General features: G+C 36.1%; 1 protein-coding gene across 16 annotated transcripts in view; it reads left to right on the plus strand.

Annotated features, from left to right (window-relative positions):
- The window catches only part of SYT1 (synaptotagmin 1), a 588,027-nt gene that overhangs the window by 401,966 nt on the left and 158,504 nt on the right, over positions 1-27,557 (plus strand). For 11 of the 16 annotated variants that reach the window (NM_001135805.2, NM_001415940.1, NM_001415939.1 and 8 more), the window contains 2 exons: positions 19,840-20,024; positions 26,061-26,183. In NM_001135805.2, coding sequence (NP_001129277.1) covers positions 19,840-20,024; positions 26,061-26,183 — 308 coding nt within the window. The remainder of the gene's footprint in view (positions 1-19,839; positions 20,025-26,060; positions 26,184-27,557) is intronic. The other 5 variants (NM_001415943.1, NM_001415941.1, NM_001291901.2 and 2 more) reach the window with 1 other exon arrangement.

Raw genomic sequence — 27,557 nt, forward strand, 5'->3', positions numbered from 1 at the left:
TTCCATAGTCTATCCAGAATAAAGAGTAATGAACACGTGCATACGTTTTCTAAATAATCTGGAAAAGTTGATATTTTTTAAGTGTACCACTTAGATTTAATAAGGAGTCCAGTGGAGCCATGCTTACACTATAGGTAAACAATATTTGAAGAAAGCTTTCTCTGCCTCTGATTATATTTTTATTTATTCAATAAACATTTTCTAAAGACTTAGCATGTACTTAACTGACATTTCATGGAAGGCAAAGGAAAGGAAGAAAGCAGTATCCCTCTTCAGGTAGCCTCCCCCATGTTAGAAAGACAAGTCACAAAGCTACTAGAAAACAAAGATTGATATATGATAATACAAAACAAAAGGAGTGAATACATGCAGATGTGAAACAAAATAAAGGGCTTATATATGGTATTACTCAGGTAGACATTTGGAAGAAATCTTTTGGGAGCAATGTCTTATTTTGGCAAAGAAAAAAAAATAAAGGGGATTCTACATCCTTAAGGGAGATCTGTGAAAACCTACAATAGCAAGAGTCATGCAGGGCCTTGTGGTCATGTGCTTACAGTTGCAGTGCTTAGAATACAAACTCTAAACAGAAGAGGCATATGATGGTAAAAGAAAAAAATCATGAAGAAAAAGTAACTGTGTAAAAGACTGACAGGTATAGGGAAGTCCCTTCAGACGCAAGAACAGACAATAAATCAAGGATCATGGGAGTTGTAGAATAAAGTTGACAGTTTAAAAGCCAGGAAACAAAAAGAAAAACTGCTGCTACACTTTGAAAATTGGACAGATAAAATTGCCATGGAGAGAAACTGATTGACAAAAACAGAGCAAACTACAGATTGGGAGGAAAATTAATAAGCTTGGTCTGTAGCAGCACAAATCCATTGGATAATCAAAGAAAAATGTCCCGTGGATACTTAGGCAAGTGAGGGGCTTTGTTTTCACTGTTGCCTACCTGTCACTTTGTATAGTAATGAAATTAATGAGCCTGAATCTTCCCTTTCATGACTGTAAAGACTCAAACGCCCTGTTCTTCTCCACCCAAGCATAGCAGCCATGCAATTCTGCTGTCAATGCAATCAAATCTTTCCAAGTTACAGAGAATTCTAAAAACGTCCTCACTTGTTTCTAGAATCTTAAAAGAAAGGTAGTGGAGGAAAAAAAATCCTTCCAAAAAACAAGTAATAAGGCATTTTTGTTTACTTATTGCTTATAGCTGTTGGCCTTAAATTATAAAATATCAGGGAATATATCTGCCCCTTTAGCTGATAATCTTTTATCATAATTGAATTTAATCTCAATAACATTAAATTGCTTAGAAAAGAAACAAAGTAGATATTAAGATATTGAATTATTCAGAAGCTATCAACAGGGGCCATGTTCAATTCTTGGAATGAATTTCTTTTTCTCAGGCATCTTTGCCAAAGTTGGAAAACAGGTTAACAAAATTGTTAACCAAATTGAAAGTGTCAAAATAAAGCCAAATACAAATTGGGTCAGAATCCAAGAGCTGCCTATTGTGAAGTCTTCTAACGTAAAAGTTGAAAAGAAAGTTAGCTTCCTTGACAAAAGAAAAAAAAGACTAAGAGGTTATGTGTTTTTAGTTTTGAACTTAGAAATCAGAACTCAAGAAAGACATACTGAAAATTTCATAGGATGAATGGATTTCCCTTTAACCACAATATTGTGTTGTCCACAGCATGAATGAAAACTGTTACAAACTTCCAAAGGCTTCAGATGATTAGCCTGTGAATTGCCTTCACCTCTGCCAACTTACCTGGCATCCTTTACGTTTACCAGCGCACTTCTCCCTGGAGCCTGCAGACAGCAAGCTCCTGGGCTGACTGTGGAGGCTTATCTAAATCCTCTGAAAGTTGTGCTGGGGTTTATCTCTGCCTGAAGACCCATCATTTTGCATGTCAAATGTCAGACATTCCAATACTGTGAAGATATAGATGGCTTTGCCTTATCATTTAAAGCAGACTAATATTATTATAGGCATTTTATAAAATTAATTATTTGACCAATACATGTGCAGATAAAACGTCCTTCATTCAACTAACTTCCATCATCAAGACTAATCATTGCCTGCAGTGAGAAACATCAGTAACCTTAATAAGTTATTCAGTAGGGACTGTGAATTTGTTCAACAGCACAGGAAGTACAGAAATCAGATCAAAGGGTAGAGGATCTGGTAAAAATTTATCGAAGCATAGATTGTGACTTTGTGTATATCAAAACAATATGATATACTTTACTAAAGTTTTGATGTATTGACAGTTGAGTTTATGGGCAAAGAGAGGCAGATTTACGATTCTATTAAATGTTAAGGATTTTTAAAAAATCATCGAAAAAATTGTATTCATTTGACATGTAAAATAAGTTTGCCGTGACTATATAGCAGAATCAAAATCCATTAACCATGGATTAATCATTAACCCTTTAATTTGGAATTAAGATGATATGTGGTATTTTTCACAGTATTTCATATATGTTAGTCAAATCTGCCCAAGCAGACTGTAAACTAATAAATTATTTCAAACTTGTTCAAATGGATGAGTGAATGAATGAGTGAATGAATGAATGAATGAGTCTCTCTTCTAGATTACTGTTAACCACAATTTATCTGCCCTAAAAAGTCACAGGTAACTGACCCAAGTCAATGGCTTGGAGCATTTTTACAGTATTTTTGCACAGACATATATTCCAGTTTCCTCTTTGTCAGGAACACAAATTGAAAAGAGAAATAGAGCTATGTGGGAGGAGAATGTGACATGTATTCTTAAGGAGACAATTCTGAAGGCTATTTGGAGAAGGCTACATGAATTTACTACAAGGAAACATCTTTTCATCTACTATGATAGAAAAATCTAATGCAGATTTTGATAAGTCTGTATCATATTGAAAGCTCTGTTTAACAGAGTAATCACTGGCTGACAAATTAGATTAAAAGGAGTCTGAAAACCAAAGGAAAGAAAGGAAGGAAAGAGAAAGGATGAAAGAGAGGCAGGTAGGAAAAGAAACGGTGTCTTCCAAATACTATTTTCACCGTGGAGCAAGAAGGGCTTTGGAGCATACCTCAGAACGTAGCTCCTCCATGAAGTCGTTTTTGAATTCCAGGCCCCTTTTATCTTGCCCTTCTCTTTTTTTTTTTTTTATTGAATATCAATAAATTTATTGAATGCCAGATTCTGGGCTCAATGTTTTCATACATTTGTTCGCTTAATCCTTACAGCAATCCTGTGAGGCAGGTAGTGTTCTCTTAATTTACAGGTAGAAAACTGTGAAACAGAGAATTTTTTTATTGTAAATAAAGTCCCTCTCCATGAGCTTTATATATATATCTTGCCCTTCTCTAACCAGCTACCTATAAATCCTTTCTGCTCCACTGAATTTTGTGCTTAACTGTATTGCCTCCTATCTCTAGTTTTATTTTCTGGGAGTTAGTCTTTCTAAGCTCCTAGGGAAAGGGAACCATCCTTTCTGTGTTCTCTGTTCTCTCACTCCACCTCTGCATAAGTTCTCTCACTCCACCCCTGTATAGTTTAAACACACAGCAGATTGTCAGTAGGAAAGAAATGAACGGTTAAATGATCTGATGCAGGAATACGTTTTTCCTTTGGCCTTGGTGTGTCTTGCCTTGATGCTCTGAGAAACAGGTTTTTAATTTGGAGTCCAGTTGTCTTCCAGACCTGGAGAACAATAATCTGCACTCGGGTACCACATATTACCAACTGTATGAAAAAGTACACACACACACACACACAATGCACACACGGATATATGCAGTTTCCCATGAAGAGTCCACAACTTTTATCATATTTTAAACTGGACATATGATTCAAAAAAGGTTTAGAACTATCATTCTAAAGGAAAAAAGATACTTCAGTACCCTGGGGCCAAGAATTGGTAGTCTTTGAAGCCATTTTAGGCTATAATGAGAAATTCTTCATTTGGACCTCTGATTGATTTAATCTTAAATTATGTTCTATGAGACTTTACATACTTTTTCAAATATGCATTTAATGTTCTGTCTCCAGAGGTGGCTAATGAGTGTATTAATGCACATATTTCCAGAACTTTTTTCCATTTGTATTGTATAATTTAGAAAAAGCTTGTTTTTATTTTTGCTGATTTTTGAAAAATGATTATCCTTGTGTGTTTTTGAAAATTATTCATAAACAGCCCCAAAAGCAAGACTTTGAAAAAGATTTTTTGTGCTAGTTAACAGCAGAATAATTATTTCCATATTATATTCTGCACCTTGCATCTACTTATAATGATCTAGAAAGATGATGGATTATTTTGAGTAAAACTAGAAATTGGCAAAAAGCATCAGTAAATATAAGAATGAAGAAACATGTAGATTATTCATAAAATGAATAATGCACACATTAGTGCAGTGGTGAAGCATTCATAAGACAAAATAGAGATATGTTGAAGGTAGAAAATGCTTGAAGTTACTGCTGAATTTTTGTGGTGACCATAGCAATGGTATTACCTGTATTGTCTTGAGGCTCTTGGCTGAAATATCTGGGACTGTTACAAATGTACAAGCTTATATTTTTCCAGGGATGAAAATATAGCTCATCCTGTGAAAAAGATATGGATTTAAGGTTGTTTCTTAATATGATAAATGCCAATGGAACTAATAATACAAATCTGCCCTTAAAAGTGAAACCAAGGCAGAAATACAAAAGACAATGAATTATGCCGTAGATTAAACCAAGATCCCAGTGAGTAAATCTACCAAAGTTTTCCAGCCTAGGGGACAGAAATAGCTGACTATGAATGGGAATGAGGATGAAGAGAATCAGTGCTAAGGAAAAGCCCCTTGAGATAGTGGCGTACTTCAAAGACTGTCCGCTCTACTTCTACTTGAGCTTAAGAACATGGCTATGTGGGTTTCCTTCAAGTCATCTAATATTTATTGAGCACTGACTCAGGCATTTTAGGGACTGCAAAAAAGATCCATTGGGAAATAAATGCGTAGAACCGCATAGAGCCTGCCTCCCCTTAGCCATAGGGCACATTGTATAAATTAGAAAAGGGGCTCCTCCCCAATTGTTCATTCAGTAGGTGTGAGATTCAATGAATGTCTGATGAACAGGCCTCAGATTTGGAAGCATGAACTTGACATGCACAGCTGCTAGTCTATAATACCAAAGATTTTCCTTTTTAAAATGTATACTCTGCAACACCCTTGCTCTTGGTGAAGATTTCATCTTTGTTTTCACAATGCTCAATTAAAGAGAAAGATATTTGGAGCATTTACTTTTAAAATATATATATGTCAGGACTCCTTAAGTAAATAATTTTTTAAAAAATTTATTTAGTGCCAAAACTCCCTGGAAGAAGAAATAATGACGTTTTTCCATCCGAGAGTTATATTTTTATTGTAGAAAGAATATTTGTTAGTTGGCTTCACAATAGTTGTATCCCTGAAGCACTAAATTTGTATACAGGAGCCTATTAGGCCATGTAGATTTCATTTGAAAAATGTACCGTATTATGTTCTAAGAGCTGAGTTTAGCAAATATGAGAAATTGAGTTCTTTTAGTAAAATAAATAAGACTGAGATTTTAACACCTGGGAAATAAATAATAAGCTTCATGATTGCACAAACCATCCTTAGCACTGTATCCCAATCCTGAGAAAAATGCCTTGCACATAGTAGATGCTCAATAAATATTTTTCTTTGCACAATTTTTAACTGCTCAATTTATGCCTACTTGTCATGAAAAAACAGGCTTTCTTGATAAAGGAAGATCTTTTTTTCAACAAAAGACTTGCTAATACTAATTTATTTCTAAATGATTCCAAGTATTTCTATTGTGTTTGTATTAATATCAGTGCTTTGTGTCATGAATAATCTACAGAGAGCCAAGATTTAAGTCGGTGAGAAAAACATTTCTTGTATGGGAAGAGAGTTTATTAAGATACATTTTATACATTTGCACACATTTATCTCTTTTTTTCTTAATGCATCTTTTTATACCCATCTAACATAAACCACTCAATGTATTGTATCACATAGTCAATATTTCTACCAATGGGGAGCAGATTTTAACAGATGTATCCGATATTTTTATTGAAAAATCCATCAATGCTAAGTGAGGCATATGGTAAGCCTTGAAAAGGAAGTATTATTTAAATGACTGGAGAGGAAGAAGAATAGCATTTGAAAAAAGAAAGAATGCACTTTAGAAAACACAGGAGTAGAATTGAGCAGGGAACAACTTACCCAGTCTGATGAGAATAGAGGTGAGTGTGGGGGAACAGTGAGAAATAAACACAAATAAGTAGGATGGGCTAAATGACAGAGGACTTTGAACACTGTGCACAAAATAATTGATAATTATATATTGGAAAGTTTTATCTGATTACAATGAACGGGTAAAATGGACAGAGGAGATAATTGATGGGAAAAGAGATCAGATGGGAGATAATATCAGGTCTACACCTTATAAATAGACATAAAAGAAGAGTAAAACACATTGAAGGAGAAATGGCAAAGCTTACCAACCAGTTGGATTTGGGAGTATGTATTTCCCCATTTTTCCAATGGGGTAGGAAACGACAGAAGCACCGACAGAGCCATGGAGCTGTTTTGGAGAACTGGTTTGGGAAGGAGATAAAGGATGCACAAAGCATTCTATAGACTTTGGGAATACACTCCTGGAGTATAGAATAGGGAGTAGAATAGAGTAACTGAACGAGTAGTGAGGCATGGGAAAGCATGTGCTCAACAATGAGTGAATGGGAAGATAACCAAGGGGCTGAGAACCACCTTAAGTAGCAACCACATTCAAGCCTTGAGAATAGAAAGGGAAGGAGAGGGGAAAAATGTAGAGATGTAGCAGAACATGCTGGTAGGGAACAGTAACATGAAAATAAAAGCAGAAGAAAATTTTAAGAAGGATTATGTGATCAAGATTTTCTAATACCACAGACAGTGTTGTTTGGGTTTGACCAAAAAAAGCTATTCATTATCTTTTGGAGAATCCTGAGTACAATGTTAGAGTCTTGAGACTGGTTGCAGAATGAATAGATAGAAAGGGTAGATAAGAAGAAAAGACAGTTTTTTACCCCCAAGATAGCGGATTGGAGCCTTTGTTAGTGTGCCTCAGCCACTTGGAGAGAGCAAAATAGTGTGTGTTACCTTTTTTCTTTCTTTTTTTTTTTTTTTGACAATATCTCGCTCTGTTACTCAGGCTGCAGTGCAGTGGCACAATCATAGCTCATGGCAGGCTCAAACTCCTGGGCTTAAGTGATCCTATCACCTCAGCTCCTACATAGCTGGGACCACAGGTATGCACAACATCCAGCTATTTTTTTTTATTATTTTTTGTAGAGCTAAGGTCTCATGTTGCCTAGATCTTGAACTCCTGGACTCAGGTGATCCTCCTGCCTCAGCCTCCCAAAGTACTGGCATTATAGTTATGAGCCACCATGCCTGGCCACACATTGTGAACTTTTATCCAAGAAGGAAAAGAGAAACTTAACAGAAAAAGTGAAAGAAACTTCACTTTCAAAGGAGCAGTAGGCAGTGAGGCAGAAAACTGTGAGTCTCCAAAGGGCAAAAGAGGGAGAGACCATCACCATGATTCTCATTTCCACTGCAGAGCCTGGCAATTCAGGCCACAGGGGAGCGCCTTAACCCTACCCAGCACTGAAGCTGATTTTGTGAGCAGCGAGGAGGATATGAGGAGCGGCATCAGGACACACTTTGCAGGCACTCCTAGACCCCAGTGAAACAGAAGGAAGACATTCCTGATCCTAACTCGTAAAATCCTCCAAAAGTTGGCAAGTTAAACTCAGCCAGCGCTTAGAGGTTGCCAGAAACTCCCAACTGTGGTGGGGCGTGATGGCTCACGCCTGTAATCCCAGCACTTTGGAAGGCCGATGCTGGCAGATCACGAGGTCAAGAGATGGAGACCATCCTGGCCAACATGGTGAAACCCCGTCTCTACTAAAAATACAGAAATTAGCTGGCCGTGGTGGCACGCACTGGTAGTCCCAGCTACTCGGGAGGCTGAGGCAGGAGGATCGCTTGAACCCAGGAGGCAGAGGTTGCAGTGAGCCGAGATGGTGCCACTGCACTCCAGCCTGGCGACAAAGCAAGACTCCGTCTGAAAAAATAAATAAATAAGAAAGAAAGAAACTCCCAAATGAGATTCGTGATCTAATCTCAAGTGGGGATGAACCCCGAAGGCCAGAGCTAAGCACAAGTGGGAAGTGTGCTCTTGCCACAGGTGCGGGAGCTGGACACCTCTGCTTTGCGGGTCAATCCAGGAAGGGTGTGGCCTGAGAGCCATTGTTTGTGTCTTGAGTGGGAAGTCTTGCATCCTGGGTCAGTTTTGTATTCTGAGCATGAACTGCCTGAGATTCCGCTGGCAGTTACAGCTTTCTTCTGCTGAAGTCTGCAGGTGTGAGACACACCATGTCAGGGGCATGAGAGCTGAGTGGGTCTCACTGTGGTCTGCTGCCCCTCTCTTCCTGTGCAGACTGTTTTGTGCAGCAGAAATGGTTCCACTCCTCTCTGGAACATTACCCCAGTGGCCAGGAAACTTCCTTTCAACCTCCGCTGCTTTGCATCTGCACTTGGGCAGCCGCAGCGCAAACTTGGCTCACCCAACCCCCACACAGCTTCACCTCCTTTATATGCCTTGGTAGCAGACAATGGATAGGGACTTTTGAGAGTTCGATGGCCCCACCCATCTCCTGGGATATCTGAGTACTCTTCCTGGGTAACCTAGGCCATGCATAAATCCCACAGCCACAGCTGGCTCCCTCCTGAAAGTGTCACCTCCTGGCAGGAGGTCAACTGGCACAGCCAATTACAACATCTGCTGACACAACATAGTACTCATAGTGAACATGCTCACTGTAGCTGGCAATTGAGAAAGCCACCACACTAAGGCTATTTATAACCAAGGAAATCTTAGAGAGATACATCACTTCCCTGTCACCCCCATCAGAGCTGGTGCTTGCACCTGCCACTGGGAGACCAGAGGACAGATCAGCCTTGTCCAGCTCCACCCACCACCAGCATGGGTTGTGGCAGCCCCACCAGGTGGCTAGATCCAGAGGAGCAGGAGAATTCACAGTCTTCTGACCCTAAGGGACTGCCACTCCTAGGGGAAAAGGGAGTGCACCACACCAAGGGAGCACCCCACAGGACAAAAGAAACCAGAGAGTTTTTCTCTATTCCAGAACTTTCTGCTTGTGGGCAAAGAACAGCTGCATCTCTTTAAGCAGAGGCACAGGCAGAGTGCTGGGCTCAGTGGAGGAAGACTATGGCTCTGCACAGCAGTCAAGCAGCCCCTGTGCTCATGAAGAGATTTGGAGAAGGGTACTTCTTGTCTCCCTTGGCCATTGCTGCAGGCACACCCAGGAATTCTCCTGTGAAAACTCAGTGAGAGTGCACCTGTACACAGCCTTTCTGGAACATTTGGGGGTGACTGCGTCCCCAAGGGAGGTGTGCCCTCCAGGTTCAGGCTTGCAAGAGGGGTGGAGTTCCACTCCCCCTCTACATGAATATCAGTATTCCTGCAGATGGACCGAGGTGCCTATCTGATCTGAATATAAAAAATCCTGGGATGGGGGCATGATAGGAAGGTAGGTCACTTTTGTGCTGGCCTCATAGTGGAGCTGAGGTGACTCCCTCCCTCCCCTGTAAAGATTTCAATGTATTTCGCTGGGAGCTCCTCCAGCCGCCTCTATCAGAGCTGGGACTTTTGCCCACTATTGGGTTTTGCATTTACCCAGCTGCTTCAGCCACAGGCAGTTCTTACCCTTAGGTGGCTTCTACTGGCCTGAAGGCTGAACTGTTCAACCCAGTGAAAAAATACTGAGGGTGTGGGGAGGGAAGTACACATGACTGGGGAATGAGGTAAGCTTCATGAGACCTCTGCCACCCTAGCCCCACAGGAGACAGTAAACCTGCTTACACATCCAGTACATAGCTACTACAAGCAGCATGTGAGAAAGTCATTGCACAAAGATTCTCTATATCTAAGGAACTCATACAGAGTCTTTGACATGGAAAGCACCCAGAGCCAAAGCTAGTCAATCATAAACTATACACATTATAGTCACAACCTCAAAGCTCCATCAAAATAAATTTTTAAATAATAAGAAGAAATATCCCCAGATGAGAAAGAACCAGAAAAATGATTCTGGCAATATAAAACAAACAAACAAACAAACAGTTTTATAACACCCCCAAAAGATCACCCTAACTCTCCAGCAAAGGATCCAAATCAAATGAAATCTTTGGAATACCAGATAAAGAATTCAAAAAATTGATTGCAAAGTTTCTCAGTGCAATCCAAGAGAAAGTTGGAAACCAACATAAAAAATCAAAAAATACAATTCAGGATATAAATGAAAAATTATCTAAAAACAAATATTTCTTTAAAAAACAAAACAAAAAAAACAGAATTAGTGGGGCGCAATGACTCATGCCTGTAATTCCAGCACTTTGAGAGGCCAAGGCAGGCAGATCATGAGGTCAAGAGATCGAGACCATCCTGGCCAACATGGTGAAACCCCATCTCTACTAAAAATACAAAAATTAGCTGGGCATGGTGGCACACACCTCTAGTCCCAGCTACTAGGGTGGCTGAGGCAGGAGAATCACTTGAACCCGGGAGGCAGAGGTTGCAGTGAGCTAAGATCGCGCCACTGCACTCTAGCCTGGTGACAGAGCAAGACTCCATCAAAAAAAAAAAAACAAAAAAACCAGAACTTCTAGAAATAAAAGACTTGCTTAGGGAATTACACAACGCAGTTGAAAATTTTAACAGTAAACTAGACCAAGCAGATGAAAGAAATTAAGAGCTTGAAGATGAGGCTTTTAAGTTAACCCAATCAGACAAAAATAACAAAAACAAAAAGAAATAAAGTCTCCAAGAAATGTGGCATTACATAAAATGTCAAAACCTAACAATCCAGAAGAAGAAGGAAAAATGATGAAGGAAGGAGAAGAAGAAGAAGGAAGAAGGAGGAGGAGGAGGAGGAAGAGGAGGAGGAGGAGGGAGAAGGAGGAGAAAAGGAAGAGGAAGAGGAAGAAGAAGGAGAAGGGGACAACAATAAAATGTTTAGAAACCTATTTGAGAGGACAATTGAGGAAATATTCCCTGGTCTTGCTGGAATATTAGACATCTAGACACAAAAAGCTCAAAGAACTCCTGGGAGATACATTACAAAAAGGATATCACCACAGTATATAATTATCAGGTTATATAAAATCAATGTGAAGGAAAGAATTCTAAGAGTAGTGAGACAAAATAACTTATAAAAGAAATAACATATAAAGGAAATCAAATAACTTATAAAGGAAAACCTATTAGACTAACAGCAGACTTCTCAGCAGAAACCTTCTAAACCAGAAGGCCTTGGGGTCTTGTCTTTAGTCTTCTAAACAGAAGAACTATCAGCCAAGAATTTTGTATCCTGCAAAACTAAATTTCATAAATAAAGGTGAAGTAAAGTCATTCCCAGACAAACAAATGCTGACAGAATTTGTCACAATTAGACTACCTCTACAAGAAATGCTCAAAGGAATGGTAAACATCAAAGCAAAAGGTTGATATTCACCAGTATAAAAACACTCAAAATTATAAATTCATAGAGCTTATGAAATAATAACACAGTGGAGAATACAAAGCAATTAATGATCCACATGATGAATGGAACAGTTACCCACATATCAATATTGACTTTGAATGTAAATGTTCTAAATTCTCCACTTAAAAGATATAGGTTGGCAGAATTGATAAAATACATAATCCAAATATCTACCTCCTTCAAGAGACCAACTTAACACATAAAGATTCTTACAGAGTCAAGATAAAAGAGTGGGAAAATATATATCATGCAAATGGAAGCCAAAAGCAAGCAGTAGTACCTATTCTTACATCACAGAAAACAGACTTTAAATCAACAGCAGTAATAAAGACAAAGAAGGTCATTATATAATGATAAAGAATCAATTCAAGCAGAAGATATAACAATCATAAATATATACACATCTAACATCAGAGCTCTCAGATTCATGAAACAAATACTACCAGACCTAAGAAAAGAGATAGACAGCAATACAGTAATAAGGGAGAATTCAACAATCCACTGACAGAAGTAGACAGATTGTCAAGGCAGAAAGTCAACAAGGGAGCACTAGACTTAAACTGGTCTCTGGAACAAATGGACCTAACAAATATTTACAAAACATTCTGCCCCAAAAGTGCAGCATATACATACTTCTCATCAGCACATAGAACATTTTCCAAGATAGACCATATGACAGGCCACAAAACAAGTCTCAATAAATTTTTAGAGATTTAAATCCTACCAAGTATCTTCTCAGACCACAGCAGAATAAAACTAAAAATCAATTTTAGGAGGAGCTCTCAAAACTATAAAAAACACATGGAAATTTAAAACCTGCTTCTGAATGATCTTTGGGTCAATGATGAAATTAAGACAGAAATTTTTAAAAATTTTTGAAAGGAATTATAACAGTAACACAATGTATCAAAATCTCTGGGATACAGCAAGAGCAGAGCTAAGAGGGAAGTTTACAATGCTTAATGCCTACACAAAAAAGACAGAAACATCACAATTGACAAGCTAATGTCATGCCTCAAGGAACTAGAAAAACAAGAACAAACCAAACCCAAACCTAGCAGAAGAAAAGAAATAATAAAGAGCAGAACTAAATGAAATTGAAACCAACAAATACAAGGATCAATGAAACAAAAAGTTGGTTATTTGAAAAGATAAATAAAATCGATAGACCAATAGCTAGATTAACCAAAAAAAGAAGAAAGAGAATTTAAATAAGCTCAATCAGAAATGAAAATGAAGACATTACAACAGATACTACAGAAATGTAAAGTATTATTCAAGATTACTCTGAACACCTCTAAGCAAACAAACTAGAAAATCTAGAGGAAATAGATAAATTCCTAAAAACATATAGCCCCCCCAAGCCTGAATCAGGAAGAAATAGAACTCTTGAACAGACCAATAACAAGTCTTGAAATTGAATTAATACTAAAAAAAAAAAAAAAACCTCACAACAAAGAAAAGCCCAGAACTAGATGAATTCATAGCCAAATTCTACCAGTCATAAAACTGACATCAATCCTACCGAAACTACTCCAGTGGATCAAGAAGGAGAGAATCCTCCCTAACTCATTCTACAAAGCCAGTATCACCCTAATAACCAAGCCAGAAAAGGACACAGCCGAATAGGAAATGTCCCTGATGAACATAGATGCAAAAATTCTCAACAAAATACTAGAAAACCAAATCCAACAGCACATGAAAAAATTAATTCACCGCAATCAAGTGGGTTTCATTCCAGGGATGCTAGGAGGGATAAATATATGCAAGTCAATAAACATGATTCACCACATAAGCAGAATTAAAAATAAAAACCATATGATCGTATCAATAGATGTAGAAAAATCATTCAATAAAATCTAGCATCTCTTCCTGGTAAAAATTCTCCACAAACTAGGAATAGAAGGAAAAGGAACATAACTCAAAATAATAAAAGCCAGATACATCAAACCCATAGCCAACATCATACTGAATGAGGGCAAAGTAGAATGTGTTCCCCCTAAGAACCAGAACAAGACAAGGGCTCCCAGTTTTACCACTTCCATTCAACATAGTACTGGAGGTCTTAGCCAGAACAATCAGGCAAAATAAAGAAATAAAGAGCATCCACATTGGAAAAGAGGATGTCAAACTGTCTCTGTTGGCTGTTGATATAAATGTATACATAGAAAACCCCAAAGACTCCTAGATTTGATAAATGAATTTAATGAAGTCTCAGGGTACAAAATCAAGGTACGTAAATCAGTACCACTGCTATATGCCAATAATGATCAAGCTGAGAATCAAATCGAGAACTCAATCCCATTTATAATAGCTGCAAAAAACATAAAATACCTAAAAATATGCTTAACTAAGGAGATGAAAGATCTCTACAAGGAGAACTACAAAACACTGATAAAAGAAATCATAGATGACACAAACAAATGGAAAAGCATCCCATGTTCATGGATTAAAAGAATCAATATTGTGAAAATGACCATACTATCCAAAGCAATCTTCGGACTCAATATAATTACTGTCAAAGTATCAACATCATTTTTCACAGAATTAGAAAAAAAAACACTAAAATTCATATGGAACCAAAAAAGAGCCTGAATAGCCTAAGCAATCCTAAACAAAAATAACAAATCTGGCAATATCACATTACCTGACTTAAAATTATACTACAAGGCTCTAGCAACCAAAACAGCATGGTTGTAAAATAAAAGTAATATAAAAGTAGACATATAGACCAATGAAACAGAATATACCCAGAAATAAAGCCACGTCTCTACAGCCAACTGATCTTCAACAAAGCCGATGAGAACATACACTGGGGAATCGATATCCTATTCAACAAATGGTGCTGGGAAAATTGGATAGCCAAATACAGAAGAATGAAACTGGATCCCTATCTCTGACCATATACAAAAAAAATTAACACAACTTGGATTAAAGACTTAAATGTAAGACCCAAAACCATAAAGATTCTAAAAGAAAACCTAGGGAAAAAAACTCTTCTCAACATTGGTGTAGGTAAAAGATTTATGACCAAGACCCCAAAAGCAAATGTAATAAAAACAAAAATAAATAAATAGGACTTAAATTAAAAAACTTCTGTACAGCTAAATAAATAATCAACAGAGTAAATAGACAACCTATAGAATGGGAGAAAATATTCACAAACTATACATCCAACAAACGGCTAATATCCAAGATCCACAGGGACCTCAAATCAGCAAGAAAAAAAGATAATAATCCCATAAAAAGTGGGAATATGTGAAGAGAGATTTTTCAAAAGAAGCCATACAAGTGGCCAACAAACATATGAAAAAAATGCTCCACATCACTAATCATCAGAGAAATAAAAATTAAAACCAAAATGAGATACCACCTTACAGTCAGAATGGCCATTAATAAAAAGTAAAAAAAAAAAAAATAGATACTGGCATGGATGCTGTGAAAATGGAACTCTTACTCACTGTTGATGTATTAGGTAAATTAGTACAACTTCTATGCAGAACAGTATGGAGAGTTCTCAAAGAACTAAAAACAGTTCTACCATTTGATCCAGCAATCCCACTAATGGATATCTACCCAAAGAAAAAGAAGCCATTATATCAAAAAGACACCTGCACTTATATGTTTATTGCAGCACAATTCACAAACGCAGAGGTATGGAATCAACCTAAGTGCTCATCAATGGATGAGTGGATAAAGAAAATGTCAGATACGGATATAGAGATATAGATAGATATAGATAGATAGATCATGGAATACTACTCAGTTATAATAAAAGAACAAAATAATGTCTTTTTGCAGCAACTTGGTTAGAATTGGAGGCTATTATCCTAAGTGAAGTAACTCAGAAACAGAAAACCAAAAACTGCATATTCTCACTTATAAGTGAAAGCTAAGCTATGGGTATGCATGGGCATATAGAATGGTATAATGAACACTGGAGACTCAAAAGTGGGAAGGGGATGAGAGATTAAATATTACCTATTGGATACAATGTACACCATTCAGGTGATGGGTACACTAAAAGCCCAGACGTTACTACTATACAATTCATCCATTTAACCAAACCCCTAGAGCTACTAAAATAAATAAATAAATGAAAAGACAGCAGAAAATACATGACTAGCCCACATGAATATTACTAATGTATAGTTACCTATATACAGCATATATTACAAATCTCTTGAGGTCTTCTTTGTATCACTTGAGTTCCTATTGTTGCTATAATGAATTATTCCAAGTTTACTGTCATAAAAGCCACACACATTTATTATTTTCCCATTCTGGAGGTCAGAAATCTGAAATTGGTTTCACTGAGCTGAAATCAAGGCGTCAGCAGGGCCAATTCTCTCTTGAAGGTGTAGGGGAGAATCCATTTCCCTGCCTTTTCCAGCTTCAAGAGGCACCTGCATTCCTTGGCTCATGGTCCCTTTCTTTATCTACAAAACCAGCAACAGAGACTCTTCAAATCTCCCTCTCTCTCTTGGACTCTGACATTTCTGCCTGCCTCTTTCACTTATAAAAACTCTGGTAATTGCATTGAGTCTACACTCAGATAATTCAGGATAATTTCCCCATCTCAAGATCCTTAATCTAATCACACTTGCAAAGTCCCTCTTACCAGGCAGGGTAAGGTATTCACAGCTTCCAGAAAATAGGATGTGGTCATCTTGGAGGGGCCATTATCATGTCTACCACAAGGTATTAATTAAAACATCAGAAGCAGTTTTAAATTAATTTGCCTTGTACTTAATTATTATGTATCAATTTACCTTTGGGTCAGATAATATATGTGAGATTGATTCATTAACTAGAAAATGAAAATAAAATTTTTAATAGAGTTTTTATACTAGTCAATTATTTTCTGCTGAAAGGCCTTTAAGTTGAATGTTAAAATTGTTATTATAAACTTCCATGTAATGGTAGTTGGGTAGCAATAACAATAAACTGATAGTTTTCTGCCTGTAGCAGTATTTTGATGAGACTATTTTTGACTGAAACTCTTATTTTGTATTTAAAAAATCACTGCATTTTATGCTGTTATTTGCTTCACTGAATTATTTAATTTAATATGTTCTATTAAAGAGACTTTAAAGCTAGATACAAATTTTTTCTCCGTATACATTTTTAATATTCACATTTTTAACCTAACGACCTAAAGATAAATTTGAATTTCTCAAACTATTCAACCTATAGTTTTTCCTCTGTAAAACTGCAGTGATACTGAACAAAACTGCTGCAAAGAATAAATAAGATAATGTATCTATAACTGTAGCCAAATTGCTGGGCCATAACAGGTAGGTAGGTCTTCAATAAACTTTTAGCCTGATCCAAAATATATTCCACAAGATTTGCTGACCAATATTGAAACATGTTTCTACAAATACTGCAGATGAATAATACTGTGGGTGTTGTTTCTTAGTAAACTTGCCAAATTTTAAATATTTGGTTACTCTACACAATTAAATAAAATTTTAACATGAGCATCCAAGTAACTCTATTTACTAAAAATGGCTGTTTCTTTACATGATATATGACTAATGAGTGAAGCTATCCTATAGCTATACAAAATGATAACGTTAAGCATTTTTTATTTTGTCTATCTAAAGGTGCCAATACATTGTGAAGAAAATTCTGTTAATTTCATTATATTTAATACAGCATATTCCAACTTAAAGTTATTCAGAAGATCAACTGAAGGCAAATCTAAAAGACAGCAGTGCTTTAAGAAATAAAAGTCATAAAACAAAAGTTTTTCAGTGGTTATAAATTACTTTCAAGTTGCATTATTTCAAATTTCTTCCTGTAATCTCATGTTCCTAGCTCTTTAACTCCCTTTGATTAAATGATGTTCCTTTGCTTTCACTATTTTCTTTTTGTGAACTTGTCAAATCATCTTTGTCTTGTCTTGTACAATTTAAGAGACTTTTATGTAGCTCTCTGAGCGACTATCACCACACAAGTCCAACTGGGAGAATAATTTATGAGGTTCAAAATGAAGGGTCATTATGAATGCTGTCTTTCCCGCAATGAATACATACACTCTCTTGTTCATGCATGACAGGATTTTAACTAAATCAATGGAGATAGATGCTTTTAAATGAAGTATTATGAATGATATCATTGGTTACATAAAATAATTTACTTTTTATGTAATCTTTACCTTGTTTAATAAATTTAGAGAACTGGAAGAAAACTTCTTTAGGTGTGGGTTTATCTGTAACTGTCACATAAGTATTTCTTTGGTAGAAAACACAATTTCAAAAGTTGTAGTTTTATGTCCTTAGGTTAACATCTAGTATCCAGTCATAAGCCAGAATATTATGCATAGTAAGTATTCTGCACAATGATACTAAATGCAGAGGAAAAGCAAAGAGAGTAGATTTTCTCAATTTTGAAGAGAGGTTAATTTTTAAGTGTTTTTACTTTATCAAAGTATTCCTGACTGGTGTTCAGCAATCATTGGTTCTAGTAATGTTTATTTGGCTTTTTCTTATCATTTCAGTGCCCAGTATCTTTTTTTTTTATTACAACAGACAAATCTAATTACTTCTGATTAATCTCAATAGCTGTGATTTGGATTATGAATACTTCCCTTCCAATCTAACTGAAATCATAAATGTTTCCATGTCACCTTATTTTTTATAAGCACATGGTGTAAGGCATACCAAATAAGAAAATATATTAACTTTTATCAGAGAGACAACTGTAATAGAAAACTCAATGTTTATTTTAGTATATTTATGTATATATGTTCTATTATTTTAAACAGCCTGTAAACCTAAGCCTCTCCTCTTATCTAAAAATCATCCGTCCTCCTCTCATTGCCTTTGCATTTTCACTAAACTCCCCTCTGTGTATTTATCTTGCTTTTTAGGTATTTACTTGTGTGAGTAGTTTATGTTTTTTCATATGTCCTGAGCTCTCTGCCTTACCCACCATGCCTTGACTATAAAGAAATGATAGCTAACTTTGGCCAGGTGTGGTGGTTCACGCCTGTAATCCCAGCACTTTGCAAGGCCGAGGCAGGTGGATCATAAGGTCAGGAGATCGAGACCATCCTGGCCAACATGGTGAAACCCCGTATCTACTAAAAAAAATATAAAAATTAGCTGGGCATGGTGGCGTGTGCCTGAAGTCCCAGCTACTCGGGACGCTGAGGCAGGGGAATTGCTTGAACCCAGGAGGCAGAGTTTGCAGTGAGCCGAGATCGTGCCACTACACTCCAGCCTGGCAAGAGAGCGAGACTCCATCTCAAAAAAAAAAAAAAAAGAATTGATAGCTAACATTAATTGAGCTCTTGCTATGTTCCAGATGCATTAAAAGCTTTTTAACATATTAATCCCTTTCATCTTTAAGCCAGATGAAATGGGTACCACTGTAATCTTCACTGTATAGAGGAGGAAACAGAAACTCAGAACAGTGAAGCAATCTGAGTAGAGTCACACAGCCTCTAAGTGGCCGAAGCCAAAATCTAAACCTGGGTTAAGAGCCACCGAACACATGAGCATCACCCACATCTGGAGAACTTCAGTGCATACATTTTCCCCATGCTTGATTTTCAAATCACCAAGTACTTTTAATTAACCTTCACTATTGTTATGATTTGACATTTGTTGTTCTATATATACAACTAATATCTGCCCCATACCATGCCAGAACATAAGAATACAACACCTAGTATTTTATAGATGAGTAATAGCAGCTGCCATTTATTAAGCTTTTGCCATGTGCCAGGCACTGCATCTTATTATTTAATACTCAGAAAGATCTATGGGGTACCTACCAATTTATTTCCACTTTAGAGATGAGGAAAGTGAGGCAGAGAGAGGTTAGATGACTTGCCCAAGATCACACAGCTAGTAAATGGTGAAGCCAGGATTTAAACTCAATGGCTGAACTCCAAAGCTTGGCTCTGAATGAGTGAAGAGATGTGTTCCTAGAAATCTAGCTTGGAGAGTCAAGAAAAGTAATAGGGAGGAGATGACATTTGACATATCTGGAAGGGCAAAGTGGGAAAGAAAGGAAACAATACACTCAAGGGAGACAACAACATGGATAAAGTACTGAGGAATGGTGTACCTGCAGCATAACAGGTGCTCAAAAATGCAAATGAAAAAAATGAATATCTTTATAGCCCATGAGTTAAAAGGTTTTCCACATCTAAGTGTTGTATGACTAGTGCTCTCTGTGTGTTTCTTTCAGTGCCACCGTGGGCCTTAATTGCAATAGCCATAGTCGCAGTCCTTTTAGTCCTGACCTGCTGCTTTTGTATCTGTAAGAAATGTTTGTTCAAAAAGAAAAACAAGAAGAAGGGAAAGGAAAAAGGAGGGAAGAATGCCATTAACATGAAAGATGTAAAAGACTTAGGGAAGACGATGAAAGATCAGGTAATGTATTCTTTCTACATTTCTTCTTATTTTGTTTAAAAAAGATAAACAAATGTATTATTTTATGCCATATAATTACAGAAATAAACAACTTCTGGACCCATATCGTTTTTGAGATGCTTTGCAAACCTTTCAGTCATTGTTCAAGATCCCAAAGCATAATGGAAGCATTTGGCAGGGTTTTCCAATCTCCTGAGCATATAGAACAGAAAAGGGCATCCATGATCATCAGGCCCATCTTGATGGGTTTGGCATATGAGAATGATGCCTGAATATTTTGATTACATCTGTTTAACCAGTCTTCATTGCGTTTAGAGTTAGAAAAATCAGATAAAAAGTGCCTGAGTGTTTTGCATTTGGGCAGGGGATCTTTCTAATTTCTACTGTTCATAGTCACTGTTAAATAACTGAGTTTTACGGCTGTTCATCAAACTGGATGAAAGCTGCTTTTCCTACATGTCCATCCAGCTGAAAAATTAATTCTCAAGAATAATGAGTTACATGGGAGAAGGGAGAGAAATATGAGCCAGTTCTAAAGAACACGACAGGATAGAATTTTTGCCTTATGAAAAAGTTTTCTTTCTTATTTCTTATAAGACAAAATTCTCATTTCAATTTAATAAGGACAATTACAACCATAACACTGGTTATAAAATCCATCTGGCTGGGTTATCTTTCCAAGCCCAAAAAAGCTATTTGGATGTTCTTTATGTTGCTATCTGTTTTTGGCTAAATTAATTGGACAACTTGGTTCAAGATAATGTTTACTATTATTAATGATAATTATTAAATGCCTCTTCATTTTTGAAATAATATCCATGTTGAATATCTCTAAAGAATATTTAATTCATATTTTAAAATTAAAATGTAAATGTACAGATTTTTTATAGAATTAACATTTTCAATTATCAATGTTTTCATCAAATACAAAAGTTTTATTTATTCCCAAATAGCAAAATATATAAGCAGTTTTATAAATTCCTCTTATACTATTAATTACTATTAATCAAACTCTTAAACCTGAATCTCCTTAAGAACAATTTAATCAGGTGTTACAACAGGCATTTTAAGTACATTTGCGTTGTTTCCTAGTTCATTACACATTCAGGGACATTAACTCCCCTTCCCAGCTTCAGTTTTAAACTCTTTTTCCTCAAAGACACTATAGTATCTATTGATAATAATTTCACAAAGGCTCATGTTTTACTCCCTGCATTTTTGTTCTGTTTTGGAGCTATGGAATGGATGAAATGCCTGTACTCATACTCAGAGAGTTTTGGCCTGAGCTCGGAGTAGCAAGGGTTTGATTTTTCTGGCAATTTCTAATCACAGTCACAAAAGCCAATGCATAAACGTTCAACTACAGGTGTCTAATAAAGATTTTTCTCTTCAGTTAATTTAAGTAGAAACTAAAATTTCCAGGCATGTCTTACTTTATTTCCACACTTTTCATAGCAAGCAGGACTTGATAAAGATTTCTTTAAACAACTTATTGGGAGATTAAGTGTGGAAATAACCTCCTAGATGGACATGGACTGAATAATATGTATGTTAATTTTATCAATATTGTGAAAACAATAATTTGACAATAGATCACTATCTTTTTCATAATTATCATAAAATTTGAATGTGGTTTCCCTGTGTTCTAGAACTAATTAAAATTACTGAATAATGTTAAGTGATAACGATAGCATTTCTTCCTAGGACAATAAATCTATAATATTTGTGGGATTTGTTCTGTATGATGTAAAATTATAATTTACAGCATAGTGGTGGTGTTTATTACCCCTGTTATGACCTGGATAAATGACCAAGATCTCAAATATAGAGAATTAATGGGGGTTAATTTTTCATTGATGATCTATTTTTTGGATGGGGAGAGACAGAGAAAATGATTCAAACAAAGAAATATTAAGAAGTCAGTGATAGTTTATACTAATCTGTTATTGCAAATTATTTAGAATTTCAACCACTCAAAAAGATGTTTTCAGTTATTTTAGGTAGAGCACTTTGTCTACATAGGACATTAGCTAGGTCTCAATTTTTGTAAGTTATGAACAATTAAATTCACAGAATAAGGTACAATTTGGACAGATGAATATACACTCCAGGGATAAACGTTTATATAACCATAGCTTATGCTACTTTTTGAAGCAGACAAAAGTAGCTAATCATGGGTTCCATCATTTTATGAAGAGGAAGGCTAAAAAAGCAAAATAGAATGTGCAGATTTTAAGAGGATGTTTCATCACATGATGATCGCCAGATCACCCAAAATTCAAAACAGCATGAATACAAATTAAAATTATTATTAAATAATTATATTTTCAAAATATCTTCAGCAGAATGTTGAAGTGAACATGGGGAAGAAAATAAAGATGGCTTATGCCCTTCTCGTTTAAAAACAAGACAGATGTGAGAGGCATTTTAGATATAATTTCTTAATCTTAAGAAATATCTATATATAGGCTCTATATACAAGATATAAAGGCTCTAGGACAATCAATACATTTTTACCATTTTAATTCATATCAAATTCACAGAAATTCCAATTTCAATATTCATGGCTACATGTCTCTATAGTAAGGTTTTGCAACCAAGGAAGATTTTTTTAAATATTCTGCAATGACTACAAAAAGTATAGACATTTATGTTGCATAAGATATATATTTATGTGTTCTTTTGTATGTGTTAAAATTGGAGAACACTAACCAGACAGAGGGAAAATATTCACATGTAAAGTCATAGGTCTGGAAAGGTCATTTCTCCACGGTTTTCACTAATGTGTGTGGATATTTTAATTTTTATTTCTTCCTTCTATGTCCTTATCTGTGTTGTGTCTCATGACTGTTCTGGACTGTCCCTTGCGGTAGGTTTCCTCTGCTACTTAGACATCCCTAGTCAACGCTCAGATACATTTAGTGGCCTGGCACCTGGGGCTCCACAGCTGAGGGTATATCATTCTGACACACATCAAGAGGCTGAACTAAATTGATTTTTTTAAAGATAAGGTGTTCTCATTTTAAACACGCTAACAGATTAAATATAACAGTATTAGAAAGCTCAAGTTTTAAGTTGATGGACACAAAAAGAAATTCAGTCCCTTGTGCTACTTTTCTAGTGCGCCTTATTAAATCCAAATCTGAACAATGTAACTGAGAATGAACAAATGCTCCTTTTGATGGTTGCAAACAAAGCACCTGTTGAATGTCAAAGCAAACCATATGCATGCGCACTTAATCTTTGAAATTTAAGATAAGGTCTGATGTTCCCAACCCAGCTTTTTCTACTGCAATTTATCAAACCTCAGTACTGCTAGGTTTACAAGCTTTTTCTTCCGAATTTTGTTCTATGAAGAGGAAAATAGTGCTCTTGAGATATTATAATAGCTACTGATTTAATAGGTCTGAATTTAATATGATGGTACAGAAAATGTCTTGCTTAAGCTCAGCCTTTGGGACAGGAATAGACTTAATCACTTCAGTGATGAACAGTAGCACTGAGAAATTATCAAAAATTTAGCCCTATTTCATGCAGAATAATTGCAGAGATGGTCCTGCCTTCTATTCAGGTAAAAACCACTTAGGGAGAAGGAGATTTAATATATCAGCTATTTCAAATTGCATTGGGCTGAAACATGATACATAAATTCAGTTCTGAAAGAGACTTTTGAAAAAGGTATTTTAATCAATGAATTTTTCATTATAATAATAGAGCAACATGCAGATTTATCAAACAGAAGTAGATGTTAAATAGCTTGTTATTATTTTTTAAAAACCAAAATCTTATAGGGAGGCAAATTACCGAAGCTGCAATTTCCTGAGCACACCTAAGACAGTGTTAAAGACTTATACACAGCTAGGGTTTTGAAAGGGCAAAGGGATTCCACTGCCTGAAGTTCTCTAATTAAACTCAGTAGTTTTTTTTTTTTTTTTTGTCACTTTACTATCACGTTACCTTTAGTGACCAAGCCCCTTGTTCACAAATTAAACAATTAAAATAAATTTTAAAATATTTTCATGTTGTTTCCTGCCTTTAGCTATTAGTAAGTCAACATTTTAACATTCAAAGAAACAATGAAGCATAGATTAAACTTTCCAAATTAAGTGGTTTGTAGCTAACCAAATTTGATAATGTTTCTACACCGATGTATATCATGATGGCAATTTTCAATTTTCAAAACTCACTGAAGGCTCCTAAGAAATTTCCAGCAAACAAAGGGGAGGCATCACTGACAACAGCTCAATTCTGTTTATATGACCTTCCCACCTGAATGAGTTCTATTAAACTGTGATACAGCTGAGTCTCAGTTTTTTAGAATCAAATTGGAGTTAACCGGGTGAAGCCAAATTAGAAAATCTTGTAATTTCAAGGACTGAGGGTGCCATTTTGAAGCACCACTGAAGATCCCTGAGTAAGTGGGTGGATTGAACAGAGAATCTCCTTCCTGAGAATGCTGAACACAGCAAAGAAAAAAGACCATGTAGTCTTGGATGTGGGGGTAGCAGAGTGGAGGAACTGCGGTCTGATGACTGATGCCTATCTACAGCCTGGTTATACTTCTTGCATTTGAGTTCTATGAGAATTCTTAGATTCAATTTGAGAGCTAAGAAGAGTTAAGATTCCTTTACTTTATCAGAGATATAAAACAGTCTACCACTGGCTTATCCATTTTGATTTCTGTGAGATTCTACAGTAATACATGCATGCATACACATATACAAAAATAGCAATGAAAATGCTATAACCTAAAACCAGGAGACAATAATTGTGATATATAACACAACAATGAAGTTGAAATCATCAAAATACAAAGAGCCTTTGCAAATCAATAAGAAAAAGGCAAACAACACATAGACAAATTAGCAAAGGATATGTACAGGCAGTCCCCAGAAGAAAAAATACAAATGGTTAATGTAAAAGTTTGTAATCTTTTCAACCTCAGGAAAATGTAATTTTGTATTTTTTTAATTTTGAATAATGACTGTGTATAGATTTCTAATTAATTATTCTAATTACTTAAAGCAGTAAGAATTACACATCCCTAGAAACAAAACTTCATGTACTTATAACCTTTGATATTTTTAGCAAAATGTTTGCATATTAGAAAAACACATTATATATTTTGATTTTTTAAAAAGAAGAGCATTTGAATGAAACTTATGAGTTAGTGAGCTTTCTAATATTTCCATTTATAGTACACTTAAGTTTTAGGTTATAAAGAGTATTCAATTGGTCAGACTGAGTTTTGAGAGTTCAATACAATTGATTTTGTTCTTAAATACAAAACGAATTCTTATGCCAATTTGTTTTTGACAGAACTGCAAACTTAACTCTTTTTATCTTTTGATATCAAACAGACTCTTAATCAATTTAATTCAGCCTAGCTTTTGGTGGAGCTGTTATGAAAATAAAGTGGTAAACTGAAATTGGAAGTGGGGTGAACTTTTCTCTAAACACGGATTTGCTGGTGGTATGTTTTTTTCCTCTTTTTCATACCATGATAAATGTATATGTGAAACACAGGGAATTTAAATTTTCTGAGGATCATTACTGAACTATCTTTTTCATAGGAAATAAGGCAACAAAAGGCCATGCATTTTATATTAATTATTCCACTGCATGTAGCGATGATATTTTATATGATGCTGAGCATCTCTTTAAACTACATGAATGTGAAACTTGGCCTGGTTAGTAGCATGTTTATCTTTCCTCTGAAAGCAGCAGTTTTATCAGAGCCAAATACAACACCAAGTTGACACTTTCTTTGCAACAATGTTACATTTTTTGCTTGCAATATTCTGAGGGGCTTCTTCCATCGCTTCCATTTTGCTTGCTGATTGGGGAAAGAAATTCCGTGCACAAAAGGAATTTAAAAAATATGTAAGCAGCAAATGTGAATGTGTGTCAGACAAACAGATTTCCAGCATCTTAGTGCTTGCTTCGAACAGCTTGGAAGTGTAACTACAGGCCCAGTTCAATTTGAGTTTTGATGAAAACTCTGAAATTCACATGTGATCCTTTCTCTATACATAGGCCCTCAAGGATGATGATGCTGAAACTGGATTGACAGATGGAGAAGAAAAAGAAGAACCCAAAGAAGAGGAGAAACTGGGAAAACTTCAGTATTCACTGGATTATGATTTCCAAAATAACCAGGTCTGAAGTGGAGAAATGTCTTCTAATTCCATTACATTTTCTGAAATTACCAAGTAGAAATTGCAGCAAGATACCTCTTAAAATATTTTGTTTGCTGTGAGGGGAAAATGCAATTATCAAAGCTATGGATGAAATAATTTCTAAGAACAGGCAGTCCCCTACTTGCTAATTTAACTTCTGGTAATTAGAATTCACAGTATTCAACCGATTACATCTACTTGTGGCACTTTCAGCAGGCAGACAGAATACAAATTAACTTGAAGCAGTCGGTCTGCTTCTGAGAGCTTCTAGCCACAGTCTCACCTTCTCAGCTTCCTCAGCCTGAGCTGCAGCAACCTTCCTTGGACTTTACAGATTTAGAACTAGACAGGGCTAGGGGCCTTTTGAGTTGGGCCGCTATTCTAGCCAAATTTTTGAAAAATAATATAATGATTTGATAAGGGATCGAAGATGAAAAATTAATTCTTGTCCATTAAATTTAAAAGCAGGATGGCCTTATATGATACTAGGTGAAACTCCTAGTGCTAATGAGACAGCAATTCTAAAAGAGTGAGAAAACCAGAGACTTACTTCTAGTGCCTAGGAATATTGCCCAAAAAGTGACAAGGAACTAAAGGAGGTAACAAAACGGACATTTTTGCTTCAATTTCTCAAGAAGTCATGAAATGTCACCTAGATGAATGATAATATTGGCTACCTTTTATTGACTGCCTGTCAATAAAATAGAGATTGCTGAAAGACAACTGTTAAAAATCGCTTTTCATTTGAAGACATTCCAGGATCCACAACGTTGATGAAAATGTTCCTCACCTTCTGAATTGTTAAAGAAATGTGAAAGCTGGATAAGAATTAGGGGAACAGGCTAAGTTAGAGACCAGGTTTTTAAAAATCTGTAAGACAGGCAGGGTGCAGTGGCTCAGGCCTGTAATCCCAGCACTTTGGGAGGCCAAGGCAGGCATATCACGAGGTCAGGAGATCAAGACCATCCTGGCTAACACGGTGAAACCCTGTCTCTACAAAAAATACAAAAAAAAAAAAAAAAAATTAGCTGGGCGTGGTGACAGGCGCCTGTAGTCCCAGCTACTCAGGAGGCTGAGGCAGGAGAATGGTGTGAACCCGGGAGGCAGAGCTTGCAGTGAGCCGAGATCGTGCCACTGCACTCCAGCCTGGGCGACAGAGCGAGACTCCATCTCAAAAAATAAAATAAAATAAAATAAAATAAAATAAAATAAAATAAAATAAAATAAAATAAAATAAAATAAAATAAAATAAAATAAAATTAAAAAATCTGTAAGACATAGCCCTTCTCCAAGTAGGAAAGTTTTAAACCTCTCCAGTTCATTTTGCTTCTCTCATCTTTTTGGGTAAAGAACT

This window comes from Homo sapiens, chromosome 12, assembly GCF_000001405.40.
Source record: "Homo sapiens chromosome 12, GRCh38.p14 Primary Assembly".
Classification (NCBI taxonomy): domain Eukaryota; kingdom Metazoa; phylum Chordata; class Mammalia; order Primates; family Hominidae; genus Homo; species Homo sapiens.